General features: G+C 45.2%; 1 protein-coding gene across 13 annotated transcripts in view, besides 4 other annotated features; it reads left to right on the top strand.

Annotated features, from left to right (window-relative positions):
* Nucleotides 7,249-7,368: an enhancer, noted in NCBI's record as "active region_22876". NCBI's record gives its function as "activates an Ori minimal core promoter by ATAC-STARR-seq in GM12878 lymphoblastoid cells {active_cell/tissue: GM12878}" and the evidence as "EXISTENCE:reporter gene assay evidence [ECO:0000049][PMID:35858748]".
* Nucleotides 7,469-7,718: a silencer, noted in NCBI's record as "silent region_16220". NCBI's record gives its function as "represses an Ori minimal core promoter by ATAC-STARR-seq in GM12878 lymphoblastoid cells {active_cell/tissue: GM12878}" and the evidence as "EXISTENCE:reporter gene assay evidence [ECO:0000049][PMID:35858748]".
* FBXL17 (F-box and leucine rich repeat protein 17) overlaps nucleotides 7,619-12,432 on the top strand; it is a 523,064-nt gene continuing 518,250 nt past the window's right edge. For all 13 annotated transcript variants that reach the window (XR_427717.4, XR_007058627.1, NM_001163315.3 and 10 more), the window contains exon 1: nucleotides 7,619-9,018. Coding sequence is in view for 11 of the 13 variants with exons in the window: in NM_001163315.3 (NP_001156787.2) it covers nucleotides 8,026-9,018 (993 nt within the window). In the remaining 2 variants the exon portion in view is untranslated. The remainder of the gene's footprint in view (nucleotides 9,019-12,432) is intronic.
* Nucleotides 7,919-8,668: a silencer, noted in NCBI's record as "silent region_16219". NCBI's record gives its function as "represses an Ori minimal core promoter by ATAC-STARR-seq in GM12878 lymphoblastoid cells {active_cell/tissue: GM12878}" and the evidence as "EXISTENCE:reporter gene assay evidence [ECO:0000049][PMID:35858748]".
* Nucleotides 8,689-8,768: a silencer, noted in NCBI's record as "silent region_16218". NCBI's record gives its function as "represses an Ori minimal core promoter by ATAC-STARR-seq in GM12878 lymphoblastoid cells {active_cell/tissue: GM12878}" and the evidence as "EXISTENCE:reporter gene assay evidence [ECO:0000049][PMID:35858748]".

Raw genomic sequence — 12,432 nt, 5'->3', positions numbered from 1 at the left:
TTTATGAGGCTACAGAGAAGAAAATTATCCACTCCCTGAGTGGTGACAAAAACCAATGCTTCATTACTTTCCTCAGGAACAAAAAAAAAAAAAAAATCTAGGAATTTCTAAACCCAGCAGTATCAGATATATTAGATAGGTGAGAGCCACCTGCAGTGGCTCTGATGAGAGTGATCTCTGCCTCACTACTCCTGCCACAACTTCCTCTGTTGCCCACCTGCCTCAGGAGGGATTACATATAACTTAAATGGTTATTTCCATCCCTCCAGTTTCTGGATTCTCGTTATAATAATTTTACCTCCAGATATAGGGAACGAAATAGGAAAGGGCAACCTGCTACTCATCAGACTCAGGGTAGAGCACGCAAGTTTGGGATGTAGACATTTCGTTATTACAGTAATACAACAAATTCTGAACACATGGAGTTTTGAAGGTGACTTGTCATTTCTGAGTCACTAAAAGTAGATTTAATTATCTGGCTATTGCATCCAAGTATGTAACCATTTAAAAATTATATAATAAGGGCCGGGCATGGTGGCTCATGCCTGTAATCCCAGCACTTTGGGAGGCTGAGGTGGGCGGATCACCCAAGGTCGGGAGTTCGAGACCAGCCTGACCAACATGGAGAAACCCCGTCTCTGCTAAAGATACAAAATTAGCCAGGTGTGGTGGCGTAAGCCTGTAATCCCAGCTACTCGGGAGGCTGAGGCAGAGGAATAGCTTGAACCCGGGACAGAGAGGTTGCAGTGAGCAGAGATGGTGCCACTGCACTCCAAGCTGGGCAACAAGAGCAAAATTCCTTCTCAAAAAAAAAAAATTACATAATAAGAAATACAAATGTTATTACATTTGGGAGAAGGCTGGGCGTGGTGGCTTACACCTGTAATCCCAGCATTTTTGAGAGGCGGGTGGATCATTTGAGGTCAGGGGTTTGAGACCAGCCTGGCCAATATGGTGAAACCCTGTTTCTACTAAAAATACAAAAATTAGCTGGGTGTGGCGGCACATGCCTGTAATCCCAACTACTTGGGAGGCTGAGGCAGGAGAATTGCTTGAACCTGGGAGGCGGAGGTTTCAGTGAGCTGAGATAGCACCACTGCACTCCAGGCTGGGTGATGGAGTGAGACTCCATCTCAAAAAAAAGAAAAAAAAAAGGAAAAAAAAATAAATTTAGGAGAAAAAACATTTAATGTTAGGGAGACACATGTAATTTAATTCTTTTTTCTATAAGCACTATTTCTGTCAGTTGAAAATGAGAAAATACTAATTATAGAATATAGACACACACAGAATTGAAGGAATATAAATAGTGGAACATCTTTGTGTTACACTAATTCCATCTAAGGAAAAGATAAATATGTGAGTCTTAAGCAAAAGAAATAAGCCCATATCTTTGTCTCAATTATCTAATTTATGCAAAAGTGGGAGAACAACAAATAGTCTGTGCAGGTATTAACTTCTGATTAGTTGTTTCTTTTCATGAGGTTGAATTAATCTTTGAAGTTATGGATAATTGATCATTTGGTTTCTGCTATTAAAACTACATCAAGTTTTGGTATCCATATGACTGTATTTGAATACACACTTTATTCCATGCAAAAACATTTGCATTTGATGCAAAAACGAATTACCAGAAATGAAGTGACTTAAAATAACATATTTATTATCTCGTAGTTCTGTAAGTCAGAAGTCCTGGCATGGGCTCAGCTGGGTTCTCTGCTCAGGTTCTCACCAGGCTGAAATCAAGGTGTCAGCCAAGCTGTGCTCCCTTCTGTAGTTCTGGGTATTCTTCCAAACTCATGTGGTTGTTGGCAGAATTAAGAATCCTGTAGGAAGGAAGGCCTGCTTTCTTGCTGACCATCAGCTAGGGGCTACTCTCAGTTCTTAGAGGCCACTTGCCATTTTCTGCCATATAGGTCTCACTATAACATGAAACTTTACTTCTTCACGGCTAAAAGAAAAGCATCTGCTGTTGCTTTCAATCTCCCTGACTTCTCCTTGACCTTTTTTTTTTTTTTTTTTTTTTTTTTGGAGTCTCGCTCTGTCACCAGGCTGGAGTGCAGTGGCACGATCTTGGCTCACTGCAACCTCCACCTCCCAGGTTCAAGCAATTCTCCTGCCTCAGCCTCCTGAGTAGCTGGGACTACAGGCTACTTTTTTTTTTTTTTTTTTTTTTTTTGTATTTCAGTAGAAACGGGGTTTCACCATGTTGCCCAGGCTGGTCTCGAACTCCTGAGCTCAGGCAATCCACCTGCCTCGGCCTCCCAAAGTGCTACGATTACAGGTGTGAGCCACCACGCCCAGCCGTTCCTTGACCCTCTTTTTAAGAGTTCACTTGATTATGTCAGGCCCACCTAGGATAATCTGCCTTTACTTATTTATTTGGTTCTTTTTGAGACAGGGTGTCTCTCACGCTGTCGCCCAGGTTCTGGAGCGCAGTGGTGCAAGATCATGGCTCACTGTGGCCTTGACCTCCCGGGCTCAAGCTACCCTTCCGCCTCAGCCTCTAGATTAGCTGGGAGTATAGGTGTGAGCTAACATGTCCGGCTAATTTTTAAATTTTTCGTAAAGATAAGGTCTCCCTATGTTGCCCAAGCTGGTCTCGAACTCCTGGACTTAAGTGTTCCTCCTGTCTCAGACTCCGAAAATCTGCCTTTAAAATTCAGTTGATTAACAAATTTAGGTGCTGGCAATTTGAGAGGAAACAAAGTAGGAATTAATTCTGATGGGAATGATAGTCAAATAACACAGAAATACCACAACTGCGGACCGTGGTAACTGCTGTGAAGGAAATGAACAGGGGAGTGTAACAGAGTGACTGGGGAAGAGCTCTCATGACAGGAGGTGATATTAGGGCTGATATCATCTGGAAACTCAGAATGAATCAGTCAAGAGAAGAGCTTAGGGAAGAACAGGCCAGGCAGCAGCTGAACTTTCATATCATGTCTGAAACAAATTACTCAGGAATATAGATTGTCCTGAAGGGAATTCTCTGGAAACTTGTTTTTCACTATCATCTTTGGCCTTGAGTATTTCAGCAAAAACACAATATAATATGGAATTAAATCTACTGAACACCTGGGTGTTCCATGATTTTAAGATGCATCAGACAATGTCTTTCTAGGCCATCTGTCACATTTACCACAATTACTGGGATCAATGGCATGTGAACTTTGTTCTCCTTGTGCGTCACTGGTGCTATAGGATGTTTTAGCTATTTACCACAACCACCATTACCCAACTTCAAGCAGCATGAAAACCTTTTACAAAAGGCTGTCTTTTTATAAGCAAATGTGAATTTCAAATTTAGTATAACCTATGTTAGCAAAGAAGAAAAAACTTTTCTTTTTACCTTTTTGCCACATTTTAAATTTATATACTGGTTTTCAGTGTGAATCTCAGTATGCCATAACTCAAATCTACCTCAGGTTGGAATATTATTCAAATATGTAACTATTTTACGTTATAGAATCCATTATTTCACCATAAGTTATTCATTGAAATAAATCATAAGAACAAGCAATTTGGGGGTTTTCTCCCTATATTCATCATTCCCTTCCCTCTATCCAATTCAGAATTAAATCCTGACAACTCCACATCAGAAATGTTTCTCAATAACAACCTTACTTCATTATTCCCAGAATGCCTACATTCTTTTTTTTGTTTTGCTTTTTGTTTTTTGAGATGGAGTTTTGCACTTGTTGCCCAGGCTGGAGTGCAATGGCACAATCTCAGCTCACTGCAACCCCTGCCTTCCAGGTTCAAGTGATTCTCCTGCCTCAGCCTCCTGAGTAGCTGGGATTACAGACATGCGCCACTGTGCCCAACTAATTTTTGTATTTTTAGTAGTGTGAGATTTCACCATGTTGGTCAGGCTGGTCTTGAACTCCTGACCTCAGGTGATCTGCCCGCTTTGACTTCCCAAAGTGCTGGGATCAAAGGCGTGAGCCATCACACCCGGCCCTAAATTCATACTTTTAAGGCTTCTCTATGGACCCTTTGAACAACTTTAACTGGTCTTCCTTCTAAGAGGTTGCTTCTCCTCTAGTCCGTATTCCACACAGTAGCCTGATTATCTTCCCAAAAACTGAACAAAATCCCTGTCCTCATGGAGCCTGTGTTCTAATTGAACAAACCAACAATTTTTAAAAATGTGATAATGAGCTATAAAGAAAATAAAAACGGTAAGAGGAAAGGGCAAAGGAGGGATTAACTTTAGATAGGTTGGTGACATTTGATAATAACAAATGCTAATGCCCTCTAGCTAAAGAGCAGCAGGAAAACAACTAGATTCAAACCAAGGTGGGTTTAATGTCTTGTTGCAGGGAGGCAGAGAGCAATGAGGAGCGAAGTTGGGCAGGAGCACTCTCAGTAAGAAGGTATTGGTATTGTGAAAAACATTACAGGAATGAGTGTGTTGTTAGGTGATTTTGGGGAAGTGTCAAGGTTTTGCTCTGGATTGGATGCTGGCAGGAAACAGGTGATCCTATAACTTAATATTTTAATATTTGCTATCTAGAAGGCAGGAAGAATGGATCAAGGCTAAGCCTGTAATTGGCCAAGAAACAGTGGTCACTTATATTAACCAGAATGTTTGGTCATTTTTGTGGTTTAGAGACTGTTCTTGTATTTGCTGTGTTCAGACATGATTGTGGAGGGGTCTTATTTTTGTCTTGCCTATTGTAGTCATAAAATGACTATAACTGATGTTGATGTTTTGTGGGACTGTTTATATTTGACAAAACAATGAGAACTGAGAATGCCAGGACAGCTGCCAGTACCACAAATGCCTAGCTAATAGTGCCAGTCCAGCTCCTGGCTGTCCGGAGTTGGTTTCCACTGCAACTCCACCCTCTCTGCCCCCCAACTAGCAAAGCCATCAGCTGCTACAACTGTCTCTATAATTCTAATTTATGACTCTTATTCATAATTCTGTATCTTTAACATTTACAACATTAGTATTATTATTTAGGGTACTGAGTTCCAAAACTCATTACAGCTCTCCTGATAATAGTAGTAGCTTATTTAATCACTGATGAACTATACAAGACTCTCTCTGCTATTTGCTGTGGTAAAGAAATAAAAAGAAGGGTTAGAGATAATCCTAAGCCTCAAAGAATCTGAAATTTTTTCTGGGGAGAACTAGTGGTGTGATGATGGTGGGTGATGAGAACAGACATGCAAAATATCTAAATTATAAAAAAACAAGTATCTTTTGTCAGCACAGAGTCCAATAGGTAGACCAAAGACAATTTGCTTGTGGTTGAATGGTTTAGGAACTGGGAGTAAGGAAACAAATATTGTAAATTTTAGCAACGACTTCAGAACTCTCAGAGTCAGTTGCTTCATCTCTAAAAACAAGAAGTTGAAGTTGGATGGTATGTGTAGTTCTGATACATTTGCATGGTGCCAGGCTGTCTGTACAGGAATCACATAGGGAGCCTGTTACCAGGTAGCGATTCGAGGGCCCCGTATCCAGAAAGCATAAAACATCCTAACTTTTTGAGATTCATCCATGCTTTTTCTCTTGTGTTGCTGAGTAGTATTTAATTAGATGAATATATCAGTTTATTAATCCGTTCTCCCACTGATGGACATCTGGGCAGTTTATAGTTTTTGGTGACCATGAATAAAGTTGTTACGGACATTTTTGTACATGTCTTTTTATCGATATATGCTTTTATTTCTCTGGATAAATACCTAGATGTGGGATTGCTGGCTCATAGGGAAGATGTGTATTTAACTTATATGAAATGTATAGGTCGCAATTTTTTTTAAGAGACTGTGTTTCGCTACGCTGCTCAAGATGGACTACGGTGGCTATTCACATGCATAATCATAACAAGCTGGGCTTAAGCGATCCTCACGCCTCACCAGCCCTGTTGTAGTTTGAATGATAGGTACCACCACATCTGGCTCTGACAGGTTCATATTTTTGACATAAAGTTACAAAACACTTTATAATACTCTTGCCTTTTGTGAAAGTGCAGCCTAGTAGAGATGTCAAAGGATCTGTAATAAGTCCTCAAGCACTGCTCTGGGGCCCTGGAAGATTCTCCTACAGGCAAATGGATGAAAGTTATGTGGATTATATGTGTACGTAAATGTCGTTCAGGCAATGCATTTGATAGTGAATAGCGTGTATGTCTGTGAAATCTTTTGACAAATATTTGCTTCTAGAATTCCACATAACTGTCATTAGGCTCTGAAAGGATCCCTGAATGTGACAGACTTAAGATTGGTCATTTCTGACAAAAAGGCCAGAATTAACAATTGTTTGACAGCATGTTTGAGAGCAGGCTGGGTGGGGCTGGCCACTATAGTGGGAATAGCAATGTAGGTTCCAACAGTGGTCTTCTCCAAGCCACTGGGCCTTGAATATTGCAATACTTCTTCCTCAGTCAGCTCTCTCAAGTTATCCTTAGCAGATTTTTTTTTAAACACCTGCCACTTCTCTTCCACCCTTCAGCAGGTAACCAAGCTCTATCTGAAGCAAAACAGAAACCAACAGAAAGGAACTCTTTCACCTTCCTGCTAGAAACATCCACCTCTCTGTATCCGTCCTTTATCTACCTTTCCTCATTCTCTGTAATCACAATGAAGAAAGTATCCTTCCTAAAGCACTCTCCATTCCACCTTCTCCTCTTATTTCTCTCACTAGAGTGGCTCATTCCCATGGTATTTGCCTCCTCTAATTTTTCGCTTGTGAAAGCTAACCTCTCCGCACCAGGTACCGCTCTAGCAGCTGCCCTAGCTCTTTAGCCTCGATATAGTCAAACCTTCTAAAGGACTGCCTGCATAGCTGTTTCCTCTTTCTCATCTGGATCACCAACGTTTGTCATATAGCAGGCACTGCACCGTCATGTTTAAAATATACAACAGACGGCTAGACAGGATTCCGAGGGTGTAGACAATAAAGTGATCTACAGTTTGTAGCCTGGGTGTTGAATGGCTCACTGGGTGGGGAAGCTGTTATCTTTCTGCTGTGCACAGGTAATTTGATATATGCTTTCATTCTGAAATAAAGTTGTGGAAAGGCAGTAGTACGCAACAATTAAGAAAACACAAGTGGGTAAACAGTGGTGCCGCACAACCAATCAACCCCTCACATGACTTCGGTGCGCATCACCCAGGGGCCGCATCTGCCACTCTGCCCGAAGCGCGGTCAGCGCCCACACTGGCCCTTCCGGCGGAACCCGCCTCGCGGCTTCGAAGTGGCCTCGGTTTCCGAGTCAGGGGTGGTGACAGGGGTGGAAGGTGAGGGGAAGAGCCCAGCGGCTCCCGGCCAATGGCAGCTCTTGAACTTACACCTCGAGACGTCAGCGCGGCTGTGTAAACGGATGTCACACAGCTGGCTCGGAAGTGTCTCCTCCCGCCTCAGAAACGCGGCGCACGCCCAGCAGCTTCGGAAAAACCTTAGGCGGTGGGAGGGAGGGGCGTGCGCCGCACCCCGCAAGCCCAGAGCTCCGTGCCCTAGCCGGCCGGCTTCTTCCCGTAGTGCCGGTGTGACGGCCGTCCCGGGTGAGCAGCCGGGTGCCGGCGTCCCCGCCACGAGCGCGCCACCGCAACTGGCTCCGCCCCCTGCCGGAACGGGCCGCGCGCTCCTGCGGCTCCGAGCAGAGTCGCGGGTGCGCGCGCCGGCGGCGGATCCGCAGTTAAAATGGTCCGAGCGGGACCCGGCCTTTCCCCGGCCGCTCCGCTGACTGACTGAGCCGGCTGGCCGGGCCCGGACTGGTCGCCTAGCCGGCAGGCTCGCTCGCTCCCTCCCTCGCGTCCCCAAAGCTCGCGCCCATCGTTCTCCCGGCTTCCCTGGGCAAAGCATGTAGCCCCCGTCGGGCACTCCGGCGGCCCGCAGCTGACGCCCACCCCCCACCGTCGCGTGTGTGCCCGTGTGTGCGTGTGTGTGCGCAGGAAGGGCGACCCCTCCGGGGGCCGAGCCAGCGAGCGGCCTGCCCCGCTGCCGGGAGCCCGCCTCTCTGGGTCTCCCTCCCTCCCGTCCCGGTCCCCCTCCTCGGGGCCTTCTATATGGGCCACCTTCTCTCGAAGGAGCCGCGTAACCGCCCGAGCCAGAAGAGGCCTCGCTGTTGCAGTTGGTGCCGCCGCCGGCGCCCTCTCCTCAGGCTGCCCCGCCGGACCCCAGCCAAGGTGCCCCCTCAGCCGGCGGCGCCCCGGAGCCGGGACTGCTTCTTCCGCGGGCCCTGCATGCTCTGCTTCATCGTGCACAGTCCCGGCGCGCCCGCCCCCGCCGGCCCAGAGGAGGAGCCGCCGCTCTCGCCGCCGCCGCGGGACGGGGCCTACGCTGCCGCCTCCTCCTCTCAGCACCTGGCGCGGCGCTACGCGGCCCTGGCCGCCGAGGACTGCGCCGCTGCTGCCCGCCGCTTCCTGCTATCCTCGGCCGCCGCCGCCGCCGCCGCTGCCGCCTCGGCTTCGTCGCCCGCCTCCTGCTGCAAAGAGTTGGGGCTGGCTGCGGCCGCCGCCTGGGAGCAGCAGGGCCGAAGTCTCTTCCTGGCCAGCTTGGGGCCGGTGCGCTTCCTGGGGCCGCCCGCCGCCGTGCAGCTCTTCCGGGGGCCGACACCGTCACCGGCCGAGCTCCCTACGCCCCCCGAAATGGTGTGCAAGCGGAAGGGGGCCGGGGTCCCCGCCTGCACCCCCTGCAAGCAGCCCCGCTGCGGCGGCGGGGGCTGCGGCGGCGGCGGCGGCGGCGGTGGCGGGGGAGGGCCTGCGGGGGGAGGCGCTTCGCCGCCCCGGCCCCCCGACGCCGGCTGCTGCCAGGCCCCGGAGCAGCCCCCGCAGCCGCTCTGCCCTCCGCCCTCTTCTCCCACCTCCGAAGGTGCCCCCACCGAAGCTGGCGGGGACGCTGTCCGAGCCGGGGGCACCGCCCCCTTGTCCGCCCAGCAGCAGCATGAATGTGGCGACGCGGACTGTCGGGAGTCCCCCGAAAACCCCTGCGACTGTCACAGGGAGCCGCCCCCCGAAACCCCAGACATCAACCAGCTGCCGCCGTCCATCCTGCTCAAGGTGGGTCTGGGCGAGAGGCGCAGGGATGCTCGCTTTCCCCCACCCCCGGCCCCCGCCTCCGAGGCTTTCTCTCTCCTCCCCCTAAGCGCGGAGGAGGGGGGTTCCCTGGCAGCCTAGGGACGTCCCAAGGGGAGACTGGGAAGCCAGTGGGGCCTCTGCCTATGGCCTATTTTTTGAAGTAGGAGCACTTGGAGTCTACTGAATGTCTTTTAATAGCTTGACTCTATAACCCACCATTCAGGGTTCAGCTATTATTAGAATCCCAACCCAGTGGTTTAGAAACTTCGCAGGTATTCTGTGGAAAAAAAAATTTTTTAATCGAGGAATTTATACTTAGTGGGTAAAGGCTTTGCATGTTGGTGTTTGAAAGTCTTTAAACATTACTTTCATGTTTGATGGCTGGTAGTTAATGTCAAACGGTTAACTTACTGAGCATTTACCATAATCAGGCACTGCGCCAGACTTTATATATATAATATCCCATTTATCTAGTTAACGCTTCGAGATAAATACTGTTAATATCTTTATTTTATACAGGAAGAAACTGATTTCTCCGTGCTGTGGGCCACGGTTTATAGTAGTGAGTCAGGCAGAAGTGGTCTTTGCTCCTGTGGAGCTGACAGTCTAGTGGGGCTTGAAGTGGTTGAATGACTTGTGCAAGGTCACATACAGAAAGTAAAGGGTAGATCTAGGTCTTGAATGAGGGAATTTAAGACCACCTGACTTAAAAACCTCTTTGTTTATGCTATGTTGTAATGCCCTTCTACATTTTAACCCTTGCATAAAAGCATACAGATTACCAGAGGTAAGCACAGATGTATTTTTTGTTGGGAGATGGGTGTCCTGCATGAAGTTTGTGTCATTTTCAACTACCAAGAATATTTTGCAGTTTTGTCAATGCTAGTGACAAACTTTAGTTACATAATAGAGTTTTTATTAAGTTATTATTAACTTTTTCCCTCCTTTTCTCTCTTCTCCCACCCTACCCTATTTGGAGCTTAATAAATATAAACCATTTTCATTGTGGATGATACTAGAGACTAGCCATAAATAACCTTGATAAGAATTTGGCTACTTTTACCGTTACTGAAGTAACTGTCATTAATTACAATTGTTATTGTCACCAATATAGTTTCTTTGACTAGACTTTTTGCATATTTACAGTACTGTGTGTTTGGGTCTGTTTTACAGTGATATTATTGTTCTTGTGAGTGATACAGCAAGAGGGTGGGAAAACTTACATTTCCTTGTGTCAAAATGTAATGATCTAATTCTTATGGAGGTCTACTTGTTGGAAGAGTAATTGCCTACTCTTTGTGTGCAGAGGTGCATTTTAGGACAAAGGGAACTTTCTTGAGTCCTTTAAATCACTGGGTGATATGGATAAATAAAATATCAACAAATATTTGGTATAGAAACTTGATTGCTGTCTTCTTATTTGGCAAATAAGACTGTTTCAAAATGAACCAAAACAAAGCCAGGTACCTTCTACTTACAAATTATTTCATGAGGTAAAAAACATTTTAATGCCGAGAAAAAAAAGGGACATGATCTCATAATAAAGAGAAACTCTAATAGAATAAAATAAACTTATCCTATACCGCGTTGTTCTCTTTCATATTTTTTCCTGAGGATTGTTGAAAACTTTGTCTAAAGGACATATGGGAATTACCATGGGCTTGCCCTATTGTGTGTATTTGGACATGTTATGTAGATTTCCATTCCTTGTATTAGAAAATTCTAATAAAGATTCTCTGTCTGAGTCTGATGGTCCTAGTGGTATTCAGCACGAAGTGAGCTGTACTGTCTGGGATGAATTGAATTAGCGATTGTTCAGTGTCTGCCAACCCCAGTTTTTGGGTGCAGCGACTCTGGATTCGTAATCTTGTTCATTGCTCTGTCTCCTCCTTTAAGTGCAGTGTCTGGCATATAGTAGCGCTCAGTAAATACTTACGAACGAATGTATCATCAGGTGTTTAGAGTCTGTGCTGAGACTCAGGGTGAATACGCCACACCACGAAGAGATATTTCTAAGGAATGTCCATATTCTGACTGGAGTTGCTGTTGGAGCCACGGTAGAGCCATGTGGTGGTGAAAGGATTCTGGCTCTGCTGGTAAGGACTGGAGTTGTTTGACTTGGAGAAGGGAAGACTTATGGAGCTATGACAATTTTTCTTTTCTAATATTAGAAGGGTTGCGTAGAGAGGCACAAGTCTATCATCACTATTGGAAAACATTCTTAGAAATTATGCCCTGTTCTCCTGGTAGGGAGTCAATAGCTATTATAATTGTATTGCTTTTGCTTCATCTTTTATGCTAGGAAGTTACTATAGCTGTAAAAACAAAACAAAACAAAACAAAAAAACAAAAAACAAAAACGAGGCAGGTAGAATTTGGGAGAGAAATGTGAGGATGTTTAAGAATTTAAAGGATGTTTTTTGGGAAAGCTACCATACTTGCCCATTTTTTTTTTTTTATGGCAGAGGAGAGAAACTAAACTATATGTTGCATCATAGGCTAATTTTTGGCTCAATATCAACAAGGATGTTTCTCTTTTATATAGGTTAATATTACCTGCTTTAAAGCAGTCAAAAATGCATTTTAATATAATAGTTTCTTTAACAAGTTGTTTGCCTTTGGCAAAATATCCTATTTTATGCTTATTACCCACATCTTAAATTTCTTCACTTGGATAAACAAATCTGGATTTAGTCAATGACTTGTGGTTTATAACAGCCATATCACTTTTATATAAAAGATAATAGCTAAAGTCAGGCAGGTTTCAAACAAGATGCTACTTGGTTGCAGTGACCATGCCCTACATGTTGATTGTTAACTGACAAATTAGCCCTTTAAGACCACATAGTCCTTTAACCTTAAAAAATGATCTAGGCCATCTAAGTTTTTATTTTCTCATTTATAAAATGAGGAGGACAAGCATAAAAATATCCGCAAGAAATGTACTTTCACCTGTGGCTGCATGAAGAGTTTGGTGAATCCTTTCCACACACAAGTATAAAAATGGCAGAATTGCCCAAAACTATTTGAACTCTGGAAATCAACCAAAAGCAAAGAAAATCATTGAGAAACATTTATTCTTAGGAAAACTGTTAGATCTTCAGGTAAGAATAGTGCAAGTCTACAGCATTCTCGCGTGGGCTTCTACTGTGACCTCCTGTCCCAGCACTTTTGGCAAGAATTGTAGTTTGGAAAACCAGCAGCTTCGCTGTCAGACAGCTGATTCAATTTGGGGCAATGAGTAAAAACCTTTGTCGATAAAATGTACTGAACTTGGTAGGGGAAAACAAGGAAAAACCATGTATTTGCTAGTTTAAGGTTGTAGTGCCAGTTGGGGTGAGTGGAAGAGTAGCTATAAATTAAAAGGCAGACCCTGGAAATGAGAGAACCATAAAG

The sequence above is a fragment of the Homo sapiens genome, chromosome 5 (genome assembly GCF_000001405.40).
Source record: "Homo sapiens chromosome 5, GRCh38.p14 Primary Assembly".
In the NCBI taxonomy this organism is placed as follows: Eukaryota; Metazoa; Chordata; class Mammalia; order Primates; family Hominidae; genus Homo; species Homo sapiens.
The sequence above is the reverse complement of the archived record's forward strand: the minus strand, read 5'-3'. Positions and strand labels throughout refer to the sequence as shown.